General features: G+C 45.2%; 1 protein-coding gene across 10 annotated transcripts in view; it reads left to right on the top strand.

The window, feature by feature from the left end:
- The window catches only part of TENM4 (teneurin transmembrane protein 4), a 788,202-nt gene that overhangs the window by 690,192 nt on the left and 70,601 nt on the right, over positions 1-27,409 (top strand). For all 10 annotated transcript variants that reach the window (XM_047426739.1, XM_047426737.1, XM_047426736.1 and 7 more), the window contains 4 exons: positions 12,269-12,388; positions 18,262-18,523; positions 21,196-21,463; positions 24,617-24,760. In XM_047426739.1, coding sequence (XP_047282695.1) covers positions 12,269-12,388; positions 18,262-18,523; positions 21,196-21,463; positions 24,617-24,760 — 794 coding nt within the window. The remainder of the gene's footprint in view (positions 1-12,268; positions 12,389-18,261; positions 18,524-21,195; positions 21,464-24,616; positions 24,761-27,409) is intronic.

The following is a 27,409-nucleotide window of genomic DNA, read 5'->3' as shown; positions in this document are numbered from 1 at the left end:
GTAAATATTGACCAGCACCTACTCTGTACTAGGTGTGGAATAAGAAGATATCTCACCCCATTACTTTGGGGGCTCTTTGTGGGTCCCATGCCTTGTTTGTCATTGAACCCAAAGGAATTGGCACAGAGTGAACCACAGTGAATGATAGAATAAATCAATGAATTAGCCAGTCCCTGCTGAGTGCCTGAAGAGAAGTAGAGACAAAAGTGCTCTGTGAGCTCAAAGGCAAGACCATCACTCTCACTGCACGTCTGCCCCCTGAGCCTACACCATGAGAGCTGCCTCTCCTACAGCTTTGCTTCTCCAGCATGTAACACAGGGCGGGCTTAGAGTAGACAATATTAAAAGTTTGCTGTTGAAAACAAATGAACAAATGAAGACTTCTGGCAGGAGATGGCCTTCAGCCTGAGACAAAAATTTCAGTCGGGAGACTTGGCCATTAGAGCATCATTTATCAAATTGCAGGTCACAACAAACCCATTAGTACCTTATGAAATCAATTCAGCAGGTCGAAACTATTCTTTTCAAAAAGAGAAGTAAATTTAACTGGAATGGAGTAGAAGGAAATAGAAAATATCAGTGCATCACTGTAAAAAGAATATGTATTTCATGAAACTTATTTCAGTTACATGTGTATGTGTATGCATGAACTACTGGATAAGCTGTATTGCTTACTGTGGGTTTCAGTTGAACAGGATTGTAGAAAGCATTCTATACTGCAGAACCAGTGTGAGCAACAGCATAACTTTCCAGGACAATCAGAGAATGGAGAAAATTTTAATGTGTCTGGAGGATAATTATGGTGACATTATTTTCCACATCAAAGGTCAGAAGACGTGCTCTGACATTTGAAATCAAGATGGGCTTAGGAAATCTGTGGTATATGAGCATGGTGAGCAAAGGGGGCATGTGGGAGAAAGAGGAACATAGGGAACTATGAGGCCAGAAAAGTGGGTTAGGGGCAGGAACTGAGAAAGATCTGACCCTCACCCGTTCACTAACCAAGTTCCAGCATTTCATCTCAATCAGGACCTAAAACTGGCTCTAAACAGGAGTGAAATAACCTTGATTCCACCTAAGTCTTAGAATTCCATTCACACCCTATAGAAAGGCACAAAGCTTCCAGGAATTTTAAAAGCAAGAGTTTTCAAGAGTGAAAAATGATGGAAAAGAGAAATGACCATGTATGCAATGTGATTTTTTATCAGCCCACTGTGAACCTAAAGCCATATGCAAGCGTCAGTGGCATAGCAGTTTCAGAAGAGCATTTGCTCCCCACCCCACACCTCCACCCAGGCTTTAGACAGCCTTCAGGAAGCCCTCAAGAGGGCGAGCAGCAGAGATCATCTAATGGACTTCAAATAAACACCAACTTCCTGACAGCTGGCCTCTGAGCAAATTTATTATTGAATTATACTCCTGCATTTTCAGAACAAGCTGAGCTGACAGGGTACCCCATCAGTTTAAAAAAAAAAAAAAAGGAAAGAAAGACAATGATAAATTACCTGATGGAAGATAGAAGAAGGCAAAGATCCTGCTTCCTCCAAAATGTCAGCCATTATATATTATTCATGTTGGTTTTTTAAAAATCCCTCCCCGCGTTGAAATGAATGTTTATGATGATAAAGCAACTAGGTGATTCAATTCAGGATGCAGGCAACGACTTCTCACATCATCCTGATGAGCAGCTAACAACTCCTCCTCTGCCACTTGATCATCCCTTTATTGATTTCAAAAATGAATTACGATCTCTGTTTGCTTTGTAGCTTGAGCTTGTTCCTAGTTGTCCATCACAGAAAGCATTAGCAGAGGATGCTGTGGTGCAGCGGGAACAGCTTGGGTTAGAGGGAGAGAGCCTGGATTCAAGTCCTTGGGAAAGTGAGAACATGGGACCTTGGGCTGGTGAGACTCAACTTCCTCCCCTCTGATGTGGGGTCACTAATTCCACCCTGCCAGGTTGTTTGGAAGATTAAATGAGATAAAATACCCAGAAGCCCGATGTCTGGCTCATAGCATGCGTTCAGTACTAACACCTAACATTTACCAAGGATATTCTATTTGGAATGTTTTATAGGTAGTAACACCTTTAAATCTCTGGCAGACCCTATGATATAGGGACTTTATCACCCTTGTTTTAAGCAATGAAAACTGAGCTACTGAGAATTTAAGTAATCTGGGCCATGGTCATAGGGCTTGTAATAGCAGAGCCAACATTGGAAGCCACGCCCAGTTGGCTCTAGAGCCCATGTACTGAGCCTGTCTTCTTCTCCGCTGAGTCCTTTATGTTCCCTGCTCAGCATCTTCAGTTCAGAAATCCATACAGTGTGGTGCCACTACAACCCTAGCACCCCACCTGGCCCTGACTTTCTCTCCAATATTCTACTACATCATAAAAAACCCATGTGCAGTAAGGCTTCATGCTGAAGAGCACTGACCTCAGAGGTTGGACTCTCAGCCTCACTGTTTGCTAGCTGTGTGACCTTAGACAAGTCTCTTAATCTTTCTGTGCCTCACTTCCCTCCTCTACACTATGAAAATAATAATCCATATCTCATGGGGATTTTGTGGGGATTAAGTTAGCACATGTAAAACACTTAGGTATTAGGGCAGTAAGCATTCATTTAAGTGATAGTGGCCACTGTCACTAAATAGCAGTAATGTTAATATTAGCATTAGCTATAGCATTAGTATACATACAGGTTTTAGCGTCACTACTGAGAACTGGGAGAAAAATGAGAATCTTAACCTGAAGCATCGGTGTAGTTGTGTAATTGGGGCAAATGTCCTAGCACCTTAGGATGGCAGGGGTGAATGGACCTTCCAGACCATCAGCCCTCTGTGCTGGAAGAGGAATCTCCAAGGCCAGAGAGAGCCCCTGGCTCAGCAAGTTAGTAGCCAGGCCTGAGTCCCAGAGAACCTGGAGTCCCAAGTGAAGGTTCGTATATCTCAAACTATAAACTGTAATTCTGCTGTTTGTAAATCAAAGACTTTCTGCATTTTTATCCAACACTGAGAAATTTTAAGCAATAAGAAGTTAAAATATTTAGAGAGCCATGTTTCACATTACTAATATTGCCCTCAATAGAGAATATAGGATCAGGCCTTGCAGACACCTCTGCATGTAGTCTAACTGGCCCTCCAATTAGATCTCAGAGGCATTAAGAGTTTGCTCCAAGCAAATCCCACAGTGAGGGGCTTGACAGGGAGGGATGCGGCCTCTGTGTGGCATTTTGCTAGAGGGGAGAGATCCAGCCCCTCGTGCCTCCCCTGCCTGGATCTCCTCCTCCCACCACAGTGGGGGCCATGTGAGTCCACCCTGTGGGTCTAACGCTGCAGGCCTCTAGGACCAATCCCAATCTGAGAAGAAGGACTTAGAGCAGCCCCAGCTGCTCAACCTCACATCCTTCCTACTGTTGTCTGTCTGACCCATGACTTGCCAGCTGTGCCAAATGGCTTTCTGCCTTGTCCCTGAATCCTGGCCCCACTTTCTGTGTCTGACTTCAGCAGCCTAGTGCCCTGGCACCAAAGGACTCAAACCTTGCCCTCTTTTGACAGGCTCCCATCCCTGCCACATCTGGGTCTGGAGCTCCATCCCTGCTGTACCTGGGCATGATAACCTAGTGACACACGGGACGTCCACATCCAGATGCCTCTGGGAGCCCCTTCACCATGGCTGTCTTCCTGTCAGCCCCTCCTCCCTCATCCTTTGAATTATTATTTCCATTACAGGCCAGCTGTGTATTGCTGTGCACCTCAGCTCCAGCCTATTGAGCTGAACTTTGTGCAGACTCCCTTAGCTGCGTTTCTGCCTGGCATCAGCCCCTTCCCCATGAAGTGGGTCTGATCATGGTTCATTCTGGTTTCCCCTTTCCTGGTGAAGCAGGACCTGCCCTGTCCCTGACAGAAGGCGAGACACATGGTCATGAAATGAACTTGTCTGCTGAGAGACTGTGGCTAGAGTCACATTTTAGCAGAGCTGCCTTGTATTTTTCTAACAGCACAAACCATCACCTGAAAAGTCTTCTTTGAAACAAGCTTCTGGCCACACAGCATAGAAAACAGCCTATCTGAACATGCACCACATATCCCATGTCCCCAGGCACAACGACGGTATTTCTGAGCCATGTCCCCAGACATGACCAACCCACTTAGCTGGGACAAGGGCCTTGCTCCCTGCTGGCCAGACTGTCTCAGTCCTGCTTCTCCCTCACCATAGTCGATGGGCTCAGTTCCCTGGAAGCATAGTATGGTGGACAAGTCAAGGGCTCTGGTCTTGTGTACACTTTTATCAGCCAGCAGAAAATATTCCAGAAGATTCCTATGGGAGAGGACTCAGCCTGAAGCATCAGCATTGAGCAGCCAGGCTGCCCACAGCCTTGACAGATTGATTCTGCAGCCTGGGAGCTCACGCTCCCTTGGTGTCTGAAGGAGCTCAACAGCCATGCTTAGCTAGGAGGCCACAGAACAGTGGTTTCTGGGCTCTGCGGGAAGCACAGCCTCAGGTCCCTGAAGACACTAGTAAGTGCTGGGCCATCTTGCTGTTAGATGGCCCCAGGTGGTGTCACGGCACCATGGCGGAGCTGGTGGTACCCCCTCCTCAAGGAGTGATGGAAGGGATGCCCCACCTTCAGATATCACTGACCTCACCTGTACATGAGGAACGTGGACTCAGTCACTCAGAAGACCCCTGTAACTTAAAAGGTAAACTCCTCCCTCCTGTCAATCTGAAGGAGACTATGGAGCCTGTAACCCCAGCTACTGGGGAGGCTGAGGCAGAAAAATCTCTTGAACCCTGGAGGTAGAGGTTGCAGTGAGCCAAGATCATGCCACTGCACTCCAGCTGGGGCGACAGAGCAAGACCCTGTCTCAAAAAAATAAAAAAAGGGACTAGATCAAGTTTTACTGGTTTGGGCATAAGGCTATTGGAAAATATACATGGTAAATATAGGATGAGCTTTGAAATAAGTTATAAAGATTGAAGCACAATGAGAAGTTGGCTTTGGGGTATAATAATAAATAGCATATTCAAGTTTATTTTGTATACAAAAAAGTCACATACACACTATCATAGTCCCAAGGTAGATACCGAAGGTGGGCCATGAGAACAGGAAGAAAATTTTAGGGGCTCTATCTATACAGTGTTTCTTTTATCTTAAGAAATAAGAAAGCAAGACTGGTTTATTTCTATAGAATGTTGGATTCTCACCGATTTGTTCCTTTGGTCTCTGTGTTACTTGGTTACATGTCTGGACCAGCACATGAGGCATTCTGAGGGAGATCAAGATCTACTCCACAGAAAGAGGGACAGTGGACGGGCACAGTGGCTCATGCCTGTAATCCTACCACTTTGAGAGGCCAAGGCAGGTGGGTCACTTGAGGCCAGGAGTTTCAAGACCAGCCTGGCCAACATGGCAAAACCCTGTCTCTACTAAAAATACAAAAAATTAGCTGGGCCATGGTGGTGCACACCTTTAATCCCAGCTACTCAGGAGGCTGAGGCACAAGAATCGCTTGAACCCAGTAGGTGGAGGTTCCAGTGAGCCGAGATCACGCCACTGTACTCCAGCCTGGACAACAGAGTCAGACTTTGTCTCAAAAAAAAAAAAAAAAAGAAAAAGAAAAAAAAGAAAGAGGGACAGTGGACCCACACTGGTTTGTTGTGTATTATTGTGTATTATGATGTAATAGTATATTACATCATAATTGTTTGTATGCGTGTCTGTCTGTGTATCTGTATAAAATCTAGTGTTAACCAAACTTACTCATAAAATGGTAAAGTGGCTTTAAAGGTTTCTTGCAAGGTAAATACAAATGGAAGATAATACTAATAGTGCGAGTACAAGCAAACAAAATGGCAGAGCTGATACTTCTTCTACTCCTAATATTAAATACTTTCCTCAACCTCGCTATGAGGTTAGAAATGATTATTTTCATAAGACTGAACAAAAAGTTAACTAAGAGATTCAAAATGATCAACAATCTTAGCAGAGTTCACTTAAAGAGTCAAAATTATCAAGCAGGCTATTTGAAATATGAATACTCATCAAACCTTGCACCAAATGTATGTTACCCTTCCCAAGGTGAACCAGCGATGGTAGCACATGTGTGCGATTTATAAATGAATGCAAGTACATTGAAGGAGCCTGCTCAAAAATGTTTACAGAAAGGGCGTGCAATCAAAAATGGTTCCAGAACCCGGCTCTAATTATGTGAACCCTGAATTGTGAAGCCAAGACAAATTGGGATTCTCAATTATTTCAGTACGTGTCGGTCAGACTGCAAGTATCTTAAGAGGTGGAGTGACTCTCCCAAGTTCTCATGGCGAATCCTGCATTTGATTCAGTCCTGGCTCCCCACAAGTCTGCAAGAATGGGCAAGTCCATTCCCTGTCTGAACTTTATTTTCTCACCTTTACCAAAAGAAGTTTGAAAGAGGTGATCAGGAAGGGTTCTTCTGACTCGAATGTTTCATAATCAGGGGTTTCCCAAGAATACGTATATAGGCAGAAGATGTTGGGCTGGAAAAGCTGGTTCAAGAAACTGAGGTAGAGCGTCAGATGGAAAACTAGGAAGAGAGAGCTACAGATCAGCCTGGTGGCTGGGCTTGAAAGATGGTCTTGGGAGCTGCAGAGAGGACAATGTCAGGCTGTGACTGGAAACACCTTCAGTGGCAGTAATTTAACAGGCTCTGAAGTGAGGCTTCTCATTTGGGCCCAGGTAATGTTCTTACAAGACTTCAGGTAAATTGTAGTAGATGCTGGAAAGATCCCCATTCAATCAGCAGAAGTTAGCAGAAAACAGTTTAAGGATTTACACAAGTCAGGCAAAAAAACCTGTTTAAAATACACAATGCAAAGGAGTGATTTACATAATCAATAATGGCATAGACTAGCAAATACTTTAAAGGAGAGAAAGGCTAGATTTATCATTTGCCACCTAGATCCCAAATGATATTCCCGTCTCCTGAATACCAAAGTAGCTGCTTTCACTTAATAACAAAATAACACACACACAAAATAATAAAAGCTGCAGTTTTTCTCCCTTTGCCTTCCTTTATCTGCTTGTATAATATACATTGAATAATCAATCTAACTTTGTTTCTGGCATTCTTTTTCAAAGTTTTTCAGATCACAGGTGGTACAGATGAGGAGGGTATAGAATCAAAGGGTCAGGGCTAGGCTGAGGCAAGTGAGTCTTCCAGGGGAAGGTACCCAAGCCTTGAGGGAGAGTGCGGGCTGGCCTCTTGAAAGGGCACAACCCTTCCAGCCCTAGGTTCTCTAACCATATCCCTGTCAAGGTCAAGTAGCTCAAAGTTCTCTAACATCGCCCTCACCTTAAGTTACAGAAGCACATAAGCTCTTTATTCATTGCATAAATAATTTATCAAGAACTTACTCTGTGCCCTGCATTCGAATTCCAGAGCAAACACCTGTTTTGGAGGAGGTTTTCTTTTCCCCACTCAGAAATGACCATCAACCGTGATCAATGCTGGGAATATAGCAGTAAGGGACATGTGGTTGGTCCCTGTCTTCATGGAGCTCATGTTCTGCTGGGGAAAAGATTGTCCTGGCAGAGCAACAGCACTCAGAGTTCATGAGGAGTAGCCCAGAAGGAGCAGGAGTGGTGTATACTGCTTGGTGAATGCCCTAGGAGAGGTGGAAGTTTCCAGATAGAGGGAACAATTTAGTGATAAGTATAAGTATTGCATGAGCTCCATTAAGATTCTGAAGCCACGTGCAGTAGGGCTGCTTTAGCTGGATTGGGTAGTATGAGATTAAAACAGTTATAAATTCTTAAACATATGTTGAATTCTATTTTATACCAGGTTGGGAAAAACTTCAGCCTGCATTTGACAGATGAGAGAATGGAGGTTCAGAGAGGTCAGATGACTCCAAAATCATACAGTTAGTTCCCAGAGTCAGAACTGGGAACTATGACTCCCAGCCTAGTGCTCTTGCCACCACAGCCCTACAACTTTTCCCTGAGCAACAGTTGAGGTTGGCTTTTTATTTGCTTGATTTTGTTTTGGAGTGGTTTTGTCTCTCCAGCAGATTCTTCTGTTGATCCCAAACCTTGTCACTCTCTTCAGGAAGCAGTCAGGCAGATCTTTTCCCTTGTTGGCGTCGGCAAGGGCACCTCAGTCAGGCCCTGAGTGTGTGGTTGGACTCATGCCAGTATGTTTGACACCACCCTTGGCTTGGCACAAGCGCTCCCTCCTGGCAGAGTTCACCTAGCCTAACTGCTTGTTTTATATCCCAGCTGCCTGACATATGCCAAACCCAAGTGTTGACTCACTGGTGTCAGAGAAAACTACACGGGGGCATTTCACGTTGGCTTTAGTGAGCTCTAGCAAGTAAGTGGAGATCGTAATTCATACATTTCTGGAACTCAGCACCTAACACAGAGCCTGGCTCATAGTAGGCGCCTGATTTTTTGTGAAATTAAAGGAATTTTAGTGACTGCAGGTACATAACACAGTAGTAAGATTAAGGCCTCAGAAGTAAGAAGACCTAGCTTTAGTGTCAGCTCAGCCAAGTGAATTCATTTCTGGGTGACCTCGAGCAAGTCTTTTTCTCTCTTTCAGTTACTTGATTGTTTTTCACTTAACAAACACTCTGAGAGCAGCATCCCGTGCTTATCCTCTCTGGAGATGTGGTCCAGCCCTCCTCTGGCTCACACGTAAACATGTGAGATGGCTATATAATGCAAATGATATAAACATACGACCATCAAATACTAGAGAGATACTTATAAGGTGTATAAAAGCCCAAAGGAGGGGGTGATTCATTGTGTCAGGAAAAGTTGATGACAACCTTACTGAGGTGGTGACAGCTTAGATGAGACTCTAAGGACGAGTAGAAAATAACAGTCCAAAACTCCATTACACCAAGACAGTGACCATGAGGAAGCAAATCATGTCAAATAGAGGACTGGTAATAGAGGATCATATGAGCTAGCTGGGAAGCCAAGTCGGTGACAGTGATTTGCTCCCACGTTAATGGTTTTTCACTAAGGCAGTTAAGGCAGTCTTCCACTGCGGAGTTCTACGTTCAAAGCAGCAACTATTTCTTAGCCACATCTCCAGCCCTGAGCGAGTGCCCAACCCTCAGTGTAGGGTCAGTGTTCCAGTGGCATGCAGAAGCCAGCTTGAACCAGTTCGCAAGAACTGATTATTAAATGTTCAGAAATTCTGCAAGCTGGTTGTTAAACACAGCCATTATTAAAAATTAAATTATATAAAATTAAATAAGGTACATTAAAAACAAAGGTAATAAATACTCAAAACTTACTACTTTCTAATTATTTTGCCATGTTTGATGTTACGTTTGCTCTTGAGGTTACTCAGGACCATCGCGTCTCCACGGTGGCAGTACCGCATAATGGCATCCTCCTGTGTGTCTCTTCCCACCTCTGTGTTCAGTGGCATCTCATTGGTAGCTTGAAAACAGCCATGATGAGAGTATTTACACCACAGAAATGAGCAAACGCTGCAACTGAAGCTGGTTTTCTTTTTGTTTCTTTTTTTTTTCAAAAGTCGGTCATTAAACATTTGCCAGCACCCCACTGATAGTATCCATTAAATAAATGGATGCAGAAAGCAAGCATTGGGAAGCCCAGCACTCACATCTTTTCAAACCTCCCAGGACAAATGCATGTGGCACAAGACACAATTCAGAGGCCCCCACCAAGCTGACTTCCCATCTCCTTTGTTCCAGGGAAGGCTTTATGTTAATCTGGGCTTTCCAGACAAGTGAAAATCATGAAAACAGAACAGGGATGGAAGTGTTTTTCTCCAGGATTTAATTCCTGAGCCAAATGCCTGTGTTGGCAAGAGGCCTCTATGGCCTATCGGCGTCCAGGGAGTCAACCTAATCTTCCCCAGAATCCAAAAGCAATCCACGGGAGCCCAGGCTAAACTTGCATCTGCTCTGGCTTGCCAAGTTGGAGGCTACATGGTAGCCAAATGGTGCCGATTCAATGTTTCCCAATTATCAGGAAATCCCCAAAGAGAGATCAATCAGAGGAGGCTGGCCTGCATGTGTATTAGGGGCAGCAGCCAGGACAGCCCCAGAAAGGAAGCCATCCCCCCAGGACTGGTTTCTGTCCAGGCAGAATCCAGAGGCACATATGTCTGGAGAAGGCTGGCTGGTGGCCAGCGTCAGGAGATGAGATCTGTCAGTAATTCTCTGGAAGGACAGAGTTCCAGCAATACGAAATTCAATTGTCCTCCATTAAAGAAAACATCTCTCAGCACCAGCTGAATACAATCGGTGGAATAAATCTTCCCCATTAGCGGAGAGATAATTTCACATAAATACATTGGAAGACCTTCAGAGCAGAATTGAAAGTCTTTGCTGAGCCTCACCCGCTTAACTTGTTTGCCGTGTAATTGCATTTAGACCAAGGGCCTCGGAAGGAAACCACTGACTGAATTAGCATTAACCAGATTGTGTGGAGTGAGGTGAGGAGGGTGGGGTGGGGTGGGGAGTCTGGTGCATTGTGGGTAGTTGTTCTTGCCTTCAGAAAGGACAAGCTGACACTAGTGAGACCAGCTGCTTCACAAGCCTGGTGTTAATTGCTTTTCTCGTCCAACAGAGAAAAGTTTATCACTCTAGGAAGGTAGAGGTGTGGGTACTTCATACGGCAGTTACTGAATTTGAGATCTTTTTTTAATGAATGCCCATGGGCCTCGTCAGTAGCTCTTCCCTAGGCCAGAAGAAAAAGCCTTCTCACCTGAGGTGAATAGAGAAGGTTATGTGGTGCGCAGCACCTGCGTTTTTGACTCAGCTGTCTTTCAGCGAGGGCTTTCTCCCCAATGTGCGGATCCTTGAGGACATTGCACCAGCCAGTGCCTTCATTTCCACCCACGGCCAGTGGCAAGTGACTGGTTAGAGTGGGACCTGGAGTGGTGAGGCCCAGGTTCAAGTCCTGCCTCTATCACCTGCTTTCTATGGAGCTTCGGGCACATAATATAACCTCTCTGGAAACCAGTTTCCTCTTCCATACAATGAGAAAGTTCCACTAACTTAGGGATCTTCCAACTGACTTCTGCAGACACGGAAACTCCACAGAGTTGCCTTCAAAATCACCCCAAGGGAGAGGAGGCCTCCATCCCGACTTCATCCAGCGTAGATCTTTTCATTCGTTTTCCACTTTGGAGTCCTTATAAAATGTCATCTACCCTAACGTTTCTGTTTCTGAATGTTTAAAAAGCCACCATTCTAGATGATCTCTAGTTGTCCCATTTATTTGCTCAACCACCATGTTTTCAGTGGCAACCTAGCATTTGTTAGACATAGTTCAGGCACTGTGAGGAGAAAGAAAGAAATCTTGACCTACCCTCAAAGAGCTCAGGATCTAGTGGAAGGGAGGAGTGTGTATGGTTTGGTAGAGTATCAAGGTGTCTGCATCAGGTTTTGTGGGAGAGAGGAACTAGTTCTGATTAGGGACATCAAGAAAGGCTTCAAGGAAGAGGTGTCATTAATAGTTGGCTCTTCAAGGGTGAAATAGTTGGGAGAGGAGTGCAGGAATGACATTTTAGGCAGATGGAAGAACATTGCACAGACAGAGGCACTAAGCAACATTTGCCTGGCAAGTTTGGGAAAAGCAGGTAATTTCTTGTCCAAAATATAGAGTAAGAGTGGGAGGAGGGATATTGGGAGAGGTGTCAGGTTCCAAAACTCACTCTGAGAGCATGCTAGCATCTGTCCTTCTCCTGTCTCGAATGTCAGATGAAAGGAAGTACCTTCTCTCCTGCTCACTTTTTTGTATGTTCACTTCCAATGAGACTGTTAATAACAGTAATAGCCATTGTCATTTGTGGAGCTTACCCTATACCAGGATGAAAAAAAAAAGCCTCAAAGAACTGGCACATGCCTACTGAAGTTCAGAGAGCTAGGAAGTGGCAGAGCCAAGATTAGACCCCAGATCATTGAACTACACATCCACACACAGAACTAGGCGATATTGCCCTCTGTGATCAGCTTTATCTCCTTACAGCATAATACAGTATCCTTAGAAAATAACCTCCGAGTGAGATCATTGAATCACCTGCCAATAGTAATTCTCTCAAGGACACTTTGATGCCCTAAACTGAGGTGATATTTTTTAAAGATTATTATGCATCTTGAGTGAACACCATGAACCCCTGGGTACAAGATGTGTCTGAGTGACTGATTTTCTGGCTTCTGGCCTCTCGGGGTTCCCTGCCAGCCAGGGCTCTGACCATGAAAGGTGTATCATGTTTATTCTCTCTTCTCTTCCCACAGGCATGCTTGTGTTATTCGTGGCCAAGTGATGACATCAGATGGAACCCCCCTGGTTGGTGTGAACATCAGTTTTGTCAATAACCCTCTCTTTGGATATACAATCAGCAGGCAAGATGGCAGGTAGGAGACCTTCTATGAGCCAGAAACAGTGAAGGTCCCGCTCTTGTGGTCTTGCCATATAGCTGCTGCTGGACTGATAATGTGGAAAGAGGATGGGTCTTGGATTCAGAGGGCCTGAATTCAAATGCCCAGCTCTGCAACTTACTAATTGTATGACCTTGTACCTAACTCTGGCCTATGTCCCTTTGACTCTAGATTTAGCAGTTTCTTCTCATTTGGTTCTCAGAGTAAGGAGAGGGTACCTTATACATATCCTGCTCCATGACTTATGATATAAAACAGTCATGCGAACCACTTTCTGCAGAACAGACAGCTTGAGAAATCTCAGCCATTCCTGTTATGTGGTTTCCATCCTGCAGCTGCTTAGATCTATGTAAGCCATTTGGGTGATGACAGAATTCTGACCTTTGAATTCCTCCAAGAACCATCAGCAGAATGAAATAAAACTTCCTTAATGGCCCTAGCTCTCCCACCTGCTGTGTGTCCTAGGATAATTCTCCTTACCTCTCTGTGTCTTGGCTTCATCTGTTAAATGGTCCTAATGCTGTTTATCTCACAGATTGGTTTTGAGGGTTAGAAGATATGGTGAATGGGGAAGCACCTGGCGCATAGTACGTGGTTAACAAATCTTAGTTCCCCACCCCACTTTGATTCATTGCTGTATTTCCAGTGTCTGGCACATAGTAAGTATACAATAAATATTAGCTATTTGTTAAAATTACAGATTATTGAATGAGTAAGTGATGGTGACAGGACAGGCAATGAGAATATTTTGGAGAAAAGGAAAAAAGGAGGAAAGTGGAATATTTAGGCTGTCAGTGGTGACAAGTCCTCTATTTTTAATAAAACCAGGTGGTGGCAGTCCATCTGGCTAAGCGTGGGCCCATAAGGTTGATTTTCACTCTGTGTTGGAAATTATGCTCCAGCTTGATTGATTTTAGCACCTCTTTAATCCAATATCAGATGTGAACATGTCCCGGCCGAGGTGATAATGAAGTAGAGGCTCATCTGTTTGTAGACATGTGTGCCTCTTAGATGGGGTTGGCAAGCTTGGCATGGGGTGCCCCCTCCCCACCTCTCACTCCATGTGAATAGGAAGAGGCCCAGCTGGAAGACATTAGTGGCCAGTCTTCAGGGATAAACTGGCCAGGCCAGGCCACTGTTCCCTACCCTATACACCTTCCCACCCAGGAAGGCCCTCATGAAGACTCCCACTACAGCATGAAGGATGCTGCCTGCTGTATGAAAGTGGCAGATGTGAGCCTCCTAGGCAACAGGTATTCTGACCACATTATTACCTGCTGTGAAACATTCATCCAAAAGGAGTCTTTCAGGACTGACTTTTGCCATGAAACTTGCCAGTCACTCCTGTGAGATGGCAAATCGTCAGTCCTTATGCCCTGTTGTGGTTGGTTAGAGTAGATTCATAAAACACACCGAGTCTGGCATAAGTTCAGTGGCCTTTGGGGAAAGCTCAGTCTCTGACACTTCCTGATTCCTCCTGTTTGTGCTTCCTCTACAATTTCTACTGCCCACTGAGAGCATGGAGCTAAATATCAGCCCTGTTTCCTGCATCATCCTCCTAAATTACATCACGTAGCCAGAATTGCTGCAACAGAGCTTGAATTTCAGATCAATTCTTACCAATGCATTTTGGGGCTCAAATTTTCTTCCCAACTCAGCCACTGCATAATGTATGGGAAAGTTATCAATTGTTCTCTTAGTATCCAAAAATCTCTGTTTGTTACATGTGAACAGGTATCACTGCCCTCCCACCCTTCCTTAACTCACCTTCTTTCTTACCTCCCGTACCTTACGAAAAACCATAAGACTAAGAGATATAGTCTGGAAATAACAGTGTGCACAAGTGGACTGAAAGTCCAGGGACATGTATTCTTCGCTTTCCAGGAAGGCACCATGATACTTGCCCTCATCCAGCTCCCCCACCCCTACTCACATGCACGCGCGCGCACACACACACACACACACACACACACACACACACTTGCTGAAATCCCAGACTTCACACCTTAACAGGAGCTTACAAACAGAAAACAGTAGCAGAGAAGTTAGCCAAAGAGATCATTTAAAAAATGGAAAATAGAGGCCATGAAGAAAAACTAAAAGAACAGCAGGCAAGAGATGTAGATTAGGCTCATTGAATTAAAAATTGGGGGCCAGATGCAGTGGCTCACATCTGTAATCCCAGCACTTTGGGAGGCCACGGCGTAAGGATCACTTGAGCACAGGAGTTCAAGACCAGCCTGGGCGTTCAAGACCAGCCTAGGCAGCATGGCAAAACCATGTCTCTATCAAAAAAACATACAAAAATTAGCTGGGTGTGGTGGCATGCACCTGTAGTCCCAGCAACCCAGGAGGCAGAGGTGGGAGGATTGCTTGAGCCCAGGGAGGTCAAGGCTTCAGTGAGCCATGATTGCCCCACTGTACTCCTGCACTCCAGCCTGGGTGACAGAGTGAAACCCTGTCTCAAAAGAAAAAAGAGAGAGAGAAAGAAAGAAAGAGAAAAGAGAGAAAGGGAGAAAAGGGGAAAGGAAAGGGAGAAAGGGGGAAAGGAAGAAAAGAAAGGAGAGGAGAGGAGGGGAGGGGAGGGGTGGGAGCCAAGACAAGGGAATGTGTGAGGCCCTGTGCTTTTCCCATCTATTATCCCATCTGTATAATCAATAACCCTGCCAAATGATTATGATCATCAGCTTCATTTTACAAATGAGAAAACTGAGGCTTGGAAAGGTGATATAATTCACCCATGGAGCAAGTAGTAGTGTTCAGAATGGCCCTGCGCTGTTTGGGCTTCATATGATAACCAGGCCTTCCCTTTGGGGTCACATTCACATTCATGTCCAAAGCAGGGTTTCCCCTCCAGAGGAGCGGGCCTAGCCCCAGCTCATTACTTGCTCTTGGCAAGGCCAGCTGCCCCCTGCTTGCTCACTGCCTTGGGAATATGTCTTTTCATGTTTGTCTTTCCTCCCTCCTCACATACAGCCTCTCATGAAGGGAGCTTATAAGTCTGGCTAAAATTCTGTTTGACAGTTAAAAATGTTCTATCAAGGCACAGATGCTATTCAGTTCTGTGACAGAAAAATTGTTCTTTGAGTATTTCCCCAAAACCATGGGTATTCTCCTGGAGAGCCAAAACCTGAATTATTGATTCAAAATAAACCCCACCTCAGGTGTTTCTCTGTCATTGAATGATGGTGGTACTCAACTTCATCTAAGTGAATGAGGAACAGGCAAACGGGTGATAGCTCCTGCAAAGGGTGGAAGAGTCAGGCTTTGGAGCTTGGAGCCCCAAATCTGGGGATGCCATCTACCAAGAGCAGAACTTGACACTAGGAAAGGATGGTTCCATGCGGAATCCTTTCAGTCTCTGGAGGAGAGAAGAGCAAGCTGCAGCAATGGGCCCATTCCCACATGGTGGATTTATCAGAGTCAAGATCAGATCCTGCATTGAGGTCTCTCACACCAACTGCCCAGATGAACCTTAGATTTAACTGCAGTAACAGCCAAAGTAAGAAGGGACGTAGGGTGTTTAGTAGATGTCAGTTCAGGAGCAGCTGATGCTGTCACTCATGCATTTATTCCATCAACTTTTAAGCATCAAGCACTGGGCTAGTTTCTGAAAAGACAGAGGACTCAATGTCCCTGGGCCAGAGAGCTCAACAAGCAATGACAGTGCAATGCCATGCGTGTGGGGCAGTGGAACCCAGGGAGGAAGCTGGAATTCTGACTGGGTAAGGCTGTGTGGGGGAGGTGAAGTTTGAGCTATACAGTTTGATAGTTAGGAGTTCTCCATCCAACAAAGCCAATTAAGACAGGCTTTGAAAATGCCTACTACAGCCAGGGTGTGACAGAAGGAATGGACTAGTTTGAAGTCACCCAGGAGACAGACATCAGGCCCAGTGAATAAGAAGCTGGAAAGAGAGGGACCCACACTCAATTTAAAAAAAAAAAAAAAAAGTTCTAACAGTCAGAACTAACCTAAAACAGAACAGTCCTCCTGTGGATATAGCAATCTCCTCATCTCTGGAATTGCATAAGTAGGAACTGAATGAGCCCTTGATGGTGGTTCTATAGAAGGAACTGATGCATCAGATGGGAGGGGGGCTAGGTCAGATGACCATTAAGTTCCTCTCCAGTGGTTCACCTATTACTTGATTTCAACTTTCTGTTTTAAGAAGAGAAAGGACACAAAATTCTAGTCTTACATCTTTTTATTTTTTATTTTTTATTTTTTATTTTTTTGAGACAGGTTTCACTCTGTCACCCAAGCTGGAGTGCAGTGGTGCAATCTCAACTCACTGCAACCTCTGCCTCCCAGGTTCAAGCCATTCTCCTGCCTCAGCCTCCCAAGTAGCTGGGATGACAGGCACCCACCATCACTTAGTTCACATCACTTTTGTATTTTTAGTAGAAACGGGGTTTTAGCATGTTGACCAGGCTGGTCTCGAACTCCTGATCTCAGGTGATCCGCCCTCCTCGGCCTCCCAAAGTGCTGGGATTACAGATGTGAGCCACCATGCCTGGCCTAGTCTTATGTCTTATTGCATGATAGGGCTTTAAGTAGCAGCCATGCTATGCCCTCTTCTTAATTCAGCAGACCCAGCCTGCCGGATTAGTGATGTACCTTGGTTCACATGTGGCCCTCTTTTCCCATTATCTATAATCTGAGTCCATCTGGCTTCTAAACATGTGGCTGCAGAACCCTCAAATCAGGTTCCATGTGGGGCTGGGCAGTGTCAGAAACATTGGGTGTACAAATAGGGAGGAACTCAGTTTTCTTCAATGTTCAAAAAGTAAAAGTGCATGCCAAGGCTTGGATGGGAACGTGCCTTGCTAGGTTTGTCTGCAGGTGATTGGAGTTAAGATGCCAGCACCAAACAGAGCTGCCAGTATGTTTCTGGCTGGGTCCTGTTTGGGCACAAGATATTCTGGGGTGAGGCAAGGAAGACTCTGCCTGTACAATCCCCACAAGCCTGAAACAAGAGGGACTTAGCAGGGGGTCATCTAGGATCAGGGAAGGCCTGGAGACCATCATAGAGCAAACCCATTTGGTGTCACATTGAAGACAGAACTAGGACTAGGAGGGCAGGTTTCTCCTCAGACCTCCCCAGCATCCTCAGAGGCTGATGAACAGAGGCTGGGCTGCCAGCTCTCCAGATGCTGTCACAGTGATCTCATCTCAACTAGGAGGCTGGCACTCAGTCTTCTGGTTCTCCTTTCACTTGTAAGATACTGTGTTTCTAATTGAGCCATCTTTAAACTGCTTAGCTATTTTGTAATTGCAAAGGCCTTTGTTGAGTAATCTATCACAATTAGAGCTAAGATTGCTGTGGAGTCATAGAATCTTAGAGACTTAAGAATAATCCATTTGAGCCTTTGCATTTTACAGATGAAAAAAATGAGGATCAAAGAGGCTAAGTGACTTACCCAAGATCACATAATAGTTGAAGACAGAGCCAGGACCAGGCTTGGGGTTCTAACACCCAGATCAAGGCTTGCCCTACTTTATTCACTGACTTTTCACTGGGCTTTCAGCTCTGACATGGTTGAAAGGCCCTAAGTACCAGCAGCACCACTGTCAGCTCTTGTGTATCCTGAAAAATGGCTCTCCACAGCAGTGGTTCATTTCAGCAAATTCTCTATGTGAATCATTTTATGGGGTAAAAAAAAACTGCTTTCTAAAATCACTGCCATTGTTTGGAGCTGCAGTCAAATATTTAGGCATTAGAGCCTCCCTCAAGAAATGCTGAGACCCTTTGGTGTAATTTTCTCCCCTTTCTTTGTCTCTCTCTTTCTCATCCTGGTTCCTGCTCTTCCTGCTCCCCGCCCCTTCTCAACCTTCCCCTCCCAAACAGCTTTGACTTGGTGACAAATGGCGGCATCTCCATCATCCTGCGGTTCGAGCGGGCACCTTTCATCACACAGGAGCACACCCTGTGGCTGCCATGGGATCGCTTCTTTGTCATGGAAACCATCATCATGAGACATGAGGAGAATGAGATTCCCAGCTGTGACCTGAGCAATTTTGCCCGCCCCAACCCAGTCGTCTCTCCATCCCCACTGACGTCCTTCGCCAGCTCCTGTGCAGAGAAAGGCCCCATTGTGCCGGAAATTCAGGTACCCAGCTTTCCTAATTGCATTCCACCATGCTTTTATTTCATTTTGGGGGTGGAGGAGGATCTCAGAGACAGTGGAAAGAGAAAAAACACCTCTGTAGGGCTTGGGTCAGGTCCCATCAGCCTGTTATGCAAAATCCAGCCACCAAACCCCACAGCAGGCATGGTGTAAGGGCATGAGGGGCACCCCTCTTACACATGGAAAACACATGAGTGCCTGGAACTGCCTGGCACACTCTGGTTTATACTAAATTCTCTCTGTCTTTCCACTCTCCTGGTTAGTTCACTTCTGCCTACTTTCCTTTTCCCCAGCCTCCTGTGTCCCTCTGTCATTATTTCTGTTAAAACTACTTAAAATAAATGGTTCTACCAAGAGGAATGTGCCAAAGGATCCCGAAGAGTGAGCATTATAATAAAGATTAAATGAGAAAAATGTATATGAGATGCTTAGCACAATGTCTGTCACCTAATAAGTACTCAATAAATTTTAGCTATTATTATTAAGATTATTTAACACACGCTGCCTTCATGCCAATTAAGGATTGCCTTGGCTCAAATCTGTACATACAACTGCTTTACTTAACTATCATTAAAAGAAAGTAATTGGGAAAGATGCATTTTAATCTGATGGAAATCAAGATAGATATTTTCACCTAACAAAGCTCTGCCAGTTGAATTTCCTTCGCTGTCCCCAGCCCAGTTTCTAATGGCAGCAGTGAAGGCCTGAGGAAGTGGAGAGATGTCAGTGTAGAAGCCCAGGAGAAGTCCCGGTTGTCTCACCTGCCTAATGAGAACTCAGGCAATGTGCCTATTAATGGATTGCGGGCGCTGGTGGAGCAGGGATTTTATATATTTTTTTGTGTATATTTCATGCCTGGCTGAGCAAACACCTTTCCGTGCGTACCCTGTTGAGTGGCTTCCGATGCCAGCCAACAAGAAGGACATACAATCATTTTGAAATTCTCATTGCACTCACAGGTTGAAACCTCCTTTTCAGAGATTCAGCGCCTGTCTCCTGTCTCAACTACCAGGCTGACCTTTCTTATGAAATGGTTGTCAGTGGAGACAGAGCTTGCTGGAGAGAAGTAATTTGTTACTCAACCCTGGCTCAGCTCCAGCTAGACATTTTTCCCAGGAGCAGGGACTCTGGAACAAAAGGGGTTAAAGGTCACACCCTCTTTACAGTGCTCCCTGAGCTGGGTGCCTGCACGTTCAGTTAGGGCAAAAATCTTGCTTATTATCAGATTCATGAAATACACATAAACAAACTCTTGGATTTTCCCAGTCCTCTCACAGGTTAACCTTTGCAAGTGCTGGGAGATATGAATTTTAAAGGGTATGTTAAAGAAGGTAAATATTTTTGAGAGCATCAGGATGGCACTTCAGTCATGCCAGGGGCTCACCAGGGTATAAGTCCTGCTTTGCCTCAAACTTATAAGCTGTAGTTTAGGAAGATTGCCTTAGTTTAAGCCCAATCCCTAAAATTTCCTGTGTTCAGGAGAATGGGGTGAGGGTAAACGTTCACACTTGTCTATGAAATGGACAGGATGAAAAAGGCCCAGATCCACTGTAAACGTAGGGTAGAATAGCCATTGTCCCTTGAATAGATACAATAGCCTCAATTGATTTAATGTTCCTTTCTTGAAACAGAGCCCAGCGCATCAAGCTGATAAAGTTATCTGCTTTTGCTGTCTGCTTGGGCATGCTGGCATTCATTTAAACTTTCCAACTTAGAACTAGGCTCATTGCACCCAGTAGCTAAGTGACCTGAGCGTTCCCCGGGTCATAGCCTTCCCCACTCTGTCCATCTGGCACTGGAGCTGGGGCCCAGAGTGGCCAGAAGCTCCGTGCAGCCAGTCCAACCTCTCTCTGTGGATGAGCTGGGGCTGTGAACCACAGGTCCTGCCAGGCTGTGGTCTGAACTCTGCATAATTATTTGTTTGGTCAACATCTCGTAGTGTCTGTTTAATTTCCCGAAAAGGAAAGTCATTTGGAACAGATCTCATTTGAGGAAAGTTTTGAGAGAGAAACCATCCTTCCTGCTTAGGCAGCTGGCCGCAGTAGTCTCTCTTCATGGCATCCCTCCTGCCAGCACCACCACCAGCAGCAGCAGCACTGCATGCCACCTGACAGCGTTTCTGTGCTAGGCACTTTACCTATGTGACCTTTCTCAGTCCTCACACAAAGCCAGTGAGGAGACTGAGATTCAGAGGTTCCGTGAGCTTTCTAGGATAACACAGCTTGAGAACCAGTGGCAATGTGATCTAAGTATTTTATATGCATATCCTATGTATTCCTCTCAAAACTGCAGTGAAATGAGTGCTGTCATCCCTGTTGTACAGAGCAGGAGGCTGAGGCTTGGCGAGGTGAGGTGACTCCTGCAGGGTCACCACATGAAAACTGGCCCCAGATACCAGGTCCTCTGACATGTTTTACTCCTCCCCAATCTTTCTCCCATCTCATTTATGCTTTTCCCTTCCTCCTCCTCCTCCTGCTTCTCTTCACCCTCTGCTTCCCCTCTTCTTTCCACTGTCTCCTCTTTTTTTCCCCTCCTCTCTCCTTCTGCCTTTCCCTCTACCTCCTGAACACCCAGAGTCCATGGGGCCACGCCATCTTCCCTCCACTCGGTGAGTCGACGACCGTCCCTTGCTGTGATCTGCCTCTGCTTTCTAGGCTTTGCAGGAGGAAATCTCTATCTCTGGCTGCAAGATGAGGCTGAGCTACCTGAGCAGCCGGACCCCTGGCTACAAATCTGTCCTGAGGATCAGCCTCACCCACCCGACCATCCCCTTCAACCTCATGAAGGTGCACCTCATGGTAGCGGTGGAGGGCCGCCTCTTCAGGAAGTGGTTCGCTGCAGCCCCAGACCTGTCCTATTATTTCATTTGGGACAAGACAGACGTCTACAACCAGAAGGTGTTTGGGCTTTCAGAAGCCTTTGGTAAGCCTCCCGGCTGCAGGACTCAGAGAATAGCTCTTGCAGGGAGGACTCTTTCTACCTCCCTAGTTCCTTCTTCCTTCCTTCCTCTTCTCAGATCAAAAATACCTAAGGCTTAATTGACCTTTAAGACCTGTCCGTGACTGGCCAGGACCTAAAAGAATGTGAACTGAAAGACCTGAATGTAGAAAACCCGACCATTACAATGAGGCTACAGAACCAAAGGGCCCTGAAAAGTGCTGTGCTGGCTTGTGAGGGGCTAAAAGAGGTCATGTGCCACAAAGGCAGGGCCAGGTGGACATTGCCTGGCCACCCCACAGCCATCCTGTGGGAACTTACCCATTAAAATAGGAGAGCTAAAAAATGGTTTCTTTCATTTTTTTTTTTGAGGTGCAGTAACTAAGATTCTTCCTCCATCAAAAATGCTTTTTGGCCTCTTTACCCAGTCAGAGAGGTCATCTCTTTGTTTTTGTTATTGCTGTCTCTTTGTAAGATGAAACAGAAGTTGGCTGTAGCCTCACCTGGAGTCCTAGCCTCTCTTGGCCCTTGGGCTTCCAGGGGCTGGCTGTATGCATTTCTGCTTCCAGATTAGAGGAGGTCCTAGGAAGGGCTCAGAGCTAGACTCTCAGCAGGCCTAACCCTGCGGAGTTGATCCACCAAGCACTTAAGAGTAACCATCCAGCAAATCCCTTCTCGTCTTGAACCCCACTCCAATTTCATTCCCTTAGGTTCAGCAAAGGTAGAGATTCAGCAAAGGCAGAATGAGGAAGCAGAGAAGTAATGTTTTTAGAAAGGAAGGAAGTGGGGAAGGAAGGGAGGGAAGGAGGAAGAGGAAGAGAGGGAGGGAAGGAGGCGGGAAGAGGGAAGGGAGGGAGGGAGCAGAAGCAAGGAAGGGAGGGAGGAAGAGGGGGGAAGAAGAGGAGGAGAGAGGTGGGAAGGAAATAAAAGAATGTTGCTTGAGCACCTACTGTGGGCAATGTGTGCCCCTGTACATTAGTCACTCCATTAATCCTTATACTCTGTGAGTCAAAAATTGTCACCCCCAAATTCTGCATTAAGAAGCTGAGGCCCAGAGAATTGAGATGACTTCCCAGTGAGATGCACAGCTAGAAAGGAACAGAGCTGGATTTATTCCAGATCTTTCCTATGGGTTCGCATACAATCCTACCAAAGAAGGGCACAGTGGGAGCAAAGGTGCCATCTCTCACTGTTCATGATCCCTTCTGTAGATCAAGCCACTTCTGTCGTCTTTTTTAAAATGAGGCCTTATAACCTCTTGAGAAAAAATGAGCACTTCTAGTGCCCGCCAGTCAGTTAAAAAGGGAAGTGACTGGGCTGCAGTCACTTTCCTAAGATCACAAGTGACCACAGTGGCTGCTTAAGGAACTCAAGGCCATGGGGGAAGGGGTCACAGGGACGTCTTCCAGCCCATTCCCCCGTTGCCATAAATGGTCGGCAGTCTTTTATGGCATCTACAAGAAACTTTAAGGAGCTGCTCAGTTGTTAATTCCTGTCTTGAACATGTAGTAGAATATTGTCCACTGGAAAATAGTGGCTGCCCAGAAAGACGCTTGGAAGAAATAGCATTCCTGTCTCTGCTGGTTCCTTTCCATAGTCCAGTTACAGGACTTTTTACACACCCAGGGGCAGGGAGGCTGTCATGTTTAGCCTTCATCCCAGTGACCTTCTAAGGGGTCCTGGATTTATGAAACAAAAGCTTTGAAACCTCAAAGTAACTTCCAGCTTTTTAAAAGTAATCCAACTAAGTTCCTTTTCTATATATTCACTGTAAATGACTTTAAACATTTTTCCTAATTTAAAAAACACCATAGTCGTTAATAAAAATTTGAAAAATGGACAAAAATAGAAAAAAGTCATATGTGATTCTGTAAACAAATACAACTAGTTTTCTTTTTTCATACATAATTTCTTTTTTTTTTTTTTGAGGCGGAGTCTCGCTCTGTCGTCAGGATGGAATGCAGTGGCTCACTGCAACCTCTGCCTCCTGGGTTCAAGCTATTCTCCTGCCTCAGCCTCCCGAGTAGCTGGGACTACAGGCGCCCACCACCACACCCGGCTAATTTTTGTATTTTTAGTAGAGACGAGGTTTCACCATGTTAGCCAGGATGGTCTCCATCTCCTGACCTCGTGATCCGCCCGCCTCGGCCTCCCAAAGTGCTGGGATTACAGGCGTGAGCCACCGCGCCCAACCCGTAATTTCTTTTAATGCAAATTACCATATATAACCAGTCTTTTCAACTGAGCATTGCTCCATAAGCATTTCCCAGGTCACCACATTCTTCTTCACTGTGATTTCCAGTGGCGTCATAGTATTCCTACAGTGGATGCACTTGGGTTTGCTCACCCTCTCACCCCTCTTGAACCTTTAGATTACATCTAAGTTTCCAATATTAAATAATGTGGTGAAGACTTGTGCACAAAATATTTTCCATACTATATTAGTCCGTTCTCGTGTTGTTATAAATACCTGAGACTGGGCAATTTATAAGAAAAGAGGTTTAATTGGCTCATGATTCTGCAGGCTGTACAGGAAGCCTGGCAGCATCTGCTTCTGGGGAAGCCTCAGGGAGCTTTGACTCATGACAGAGGCAAAGCGGGAGCAGCCATCTTACATGGCAGGAGCAGGACCTGGGGTGGTGGGAGGAGGTGCTACACACTTTTAAACATCTGGATCTCAGGAGAACTCGCTCACCATGATGAGAACAGCACCAAGAGGATGGTGCCAAGCCGTTCATGAGAATCCACCCCATGATCCAATCACCTCCCACCAGGCCCCACCTCCAACACTGGGGATTACAATTAAACGTGAGATTTGGGTTGGGAACACAGAAACAAACCCCATCACATACTAAAGATTATTTCCTTGGAAGGGATTCACTTAGATCCTTTTAAAGTAATTGGTACATTTATTTTAACTTTTCCCCAAATGTAAAATTGATCTTCCAAAAAAAAGAAAAAATGATTAAGGCTCAGCAACCTTGTGTTAGTGTTTCACATCGTTCTGGTTGCCACTTAGAAATATGACCCTTTTTTCCTCTTCTACAAAAGATAAGCCAGGGGCCTTGCCTACAGGTCTAAAGGCCAAAGAGTGGGCTTTGCTCACTTATGCATTTTGCCTCATTCTGTCACCTACAGTTTCCGTGGGTTATGAATATGAATCCTGCCCAGATCTAATCCTGTGGGAAAAAAGAACAACAGTGCTGCAGGGCTATGAAATTGACGCGTCCAAGCTTGGAGGATGGAGCCTAGACAAACATCATGCCCTCAACATTCAAAGTGGTAAGTGGATTAATAGAATTACTTGAACCAGGCTGGGGTGGAACCTTGTCTCATATCCCTTGTGCCCTGCCAAACAAAAAATTCACATTTTGAATCCCATAGGCTCCTATGTGGTCAGAGAGCTCAGTCAACAGATATTGCTTGAAGACCTCCTCTGAGCCTGTCACTGTGCTAGGCACTGGGGATGTAGAAATGAATGGCCTCAAGGCTTTATGCCTGTGAGACACAAATACTCACCAGGCAGTTTCAATGTTGTGCCATATGCACCCTGACATCACAGAGGGAGGCACAGGGCACTATGAAGGCTAGAAGAAGAGCACCTCACCCAGCGTCTTGGTTCATCAATGTGTCTCTTTGGCAAGAACTCCTGAAATGAGTCTCAGAGGGTCTATAGGATTAGCCCTGTGTATCAAGTAGGGAGAACATTTTAGGCAGAAGGTACAGTATGTGCCAAAGTGCTGAAGCCTAAAAGAAAGTTACTGGAGAGAAGGTTCATTGTGATTTAAGCAGAGGATGACATGAAGGGAACAGCAAAAGACAAAACTTGGGTGTGAGCAGCTGGAACCCAGGGTAAGAAGATTAGGACTTTCAACTTCATCCAAGGCAAATGTCAAGCCTCTGCAGGGACTAACGCATGCGAGTGGCACCATCAGATCTGTATTATAGATAACTCACTCTGACCATGAGCCGGGATGGGACAGCTAAATATGGTAATGATGTCAGATATCACCTGCCTGATCTAAAAAGGCAGTGAGTGCCCATCAAAACCACAGCATGTTTTCAGGGGGAATTGACAAACTAATTCTAAAATTTACGATAGAATACAGACTTGTAAATAGCTAACGCAGCCTTTAAGAACAAAGAAGAGGGACTCACCAGATATTAAGCTATCCTAGAAAAACCATATTATCTAAAACTGTGTGGTGCTGGCACAGGAACAGATAAATTGATTCCGTGGAATAGAACGCATTCAGAAACTGACCTGGGAAGAGTAATTAAACTAAGCTTTGGCCCCAAGTTTCAGAAAAGCCAAAATAACTGAATTGGAAATAAAGTTTGCTTCTCACTCACCTCACTTCTCACTCTGCAAGTCTGGAGGTAGATAATCCAGGGCTGCAGGGTCTGAGACCCAGGCTCCTCTCTCTCTGTGCTCCACTCAGGCTTTCATCTCCAAAGTCATGATCCAAGGGGACCACTTCAGGTCCAGCCTTCACATCCACTTTCCAGCCATCAGGAAGGAGGTCAAGGATGAAGAGCAAGTCCCTTGCATTGTAAGGACACCTCCCAGAAGCTGCCCATATCACTTTTACTTACATGCCATTGCAAGAACTTAGTCGTGGATGTAGCTGCCTTGGAGCCAGGGATCGTGGTCTGTTCCAGGCAGTCACGTGCCCAGCTAAATAGCAGGGATTCTGTAACTGCAAAAGAAGGAAAGGGTGGATAGGAAGGAGAAGTTTCTGCCACATACCATGTGTATATAAGAACTTGGAACATGACAGAGATAGCATCATATATCAGTGGAGAATGGATGGGTGTTTTAGAACTTAGTATTGGGAAAATTGGCTCAATATATAGAGATAAATTAAGTCCTCACTTCACACTATATATAAAGTAAATTCAGATGTTTTCTTAAACATCTAAATGAGAAAGATAACACTTTAAAATTGATGGAAGAAAATATTTAAAAGGCCAGGCACCGTGGCTCATGCCTATAATCCCAGCACTTTGGGAAGCTAAGGCGAGAGGATCGCTTGAGGCCAGGAGTTTGAGACTAGCCTGGCAACATAGTGAGACCCCATCTCTACTAAAATAATTGTTTTTAAAAAATTAGCTGGGTGTGGTTGCACATGCTTGTGGTCCCAGCTACTCAGGAGGCTGAGGTGGGAGGATCACTTGAGCTCAGGAGTTCAAGGCTACAGTTAAGTCAAGAACATGCCACTATACTCTAGCCTGGGCAACAGAGTGAGACCCTGTCTCAATTAAAAAGAAGAAAGAAAAGAAAAAAGAAAAGGAGAGAGAGGAAAGGAGAGGAGAGGAGAAAGGAAGGGAGGGAAGGAGGGAGGGTAGGCAAGAAAGAAAGAAAGAAAGAAAAAGAAAAGAAAGAAAGTAGTTAATTAATTAATTAGTGGAGTACTTGTAAAAATCTCAGGAAAGGATTTCCTAAAACCTAACAAAGTACAAACTTTAAGGTAGAAAAATGATTGATTAGAGTACGTAAAAATTAAAGCTATCCATTGAACAAAGGACAGCTTTGACAAAGCTAACAGGTAACAGTTTGGGAGAAGATCCTGATGATCTGTAAGAGCACAGCTCACTTGGGCTTCAGTATGGAAGAGGTGAGGCAGCGGGCAGAGGATCCAGTTTGGAGGCTGTGAAGTGTGCATGAGGAAAAAGGAAGATCCAGACTAAAAAGAAACAGGATGGATATGGGAAGAAGCTTTTGCGTCATTGAGGTCAATCCCCTCATTTTGTTGGTGGGGAAACAGGCCCAAGGGCAGTTAAAGCAGTAAAGAGATCTATACAGGAGCTGGGATCAGCCCATTAATAACAAAGCCAGGTAAAAGCCTGTCGCTTCTTGACTCTCCTTTGATGAGAAGAGACTGTGAGTTTCACTCATTCATTTCTATAAACATTCACTGGTATCTACTC

This window comes from Homo sapiens, chromosome 11 (assembly GCF_000001405.40).
Source record: "Homo sapiens chromosome 11, GRCh38.p14 Primary Assembly".
NCBI classification, from domain to species: domain Eukaryota; kingdom Metazoa; phylum Chordata; class Mammalia; order Primates; family Hominidae; genus Homo; species Homo sapiens.
The sequence above is the reverse complement of the archived record's forward strand: the minus strand, read 5'-3'. Positions and strand labels throughout refer to the sequence as shown.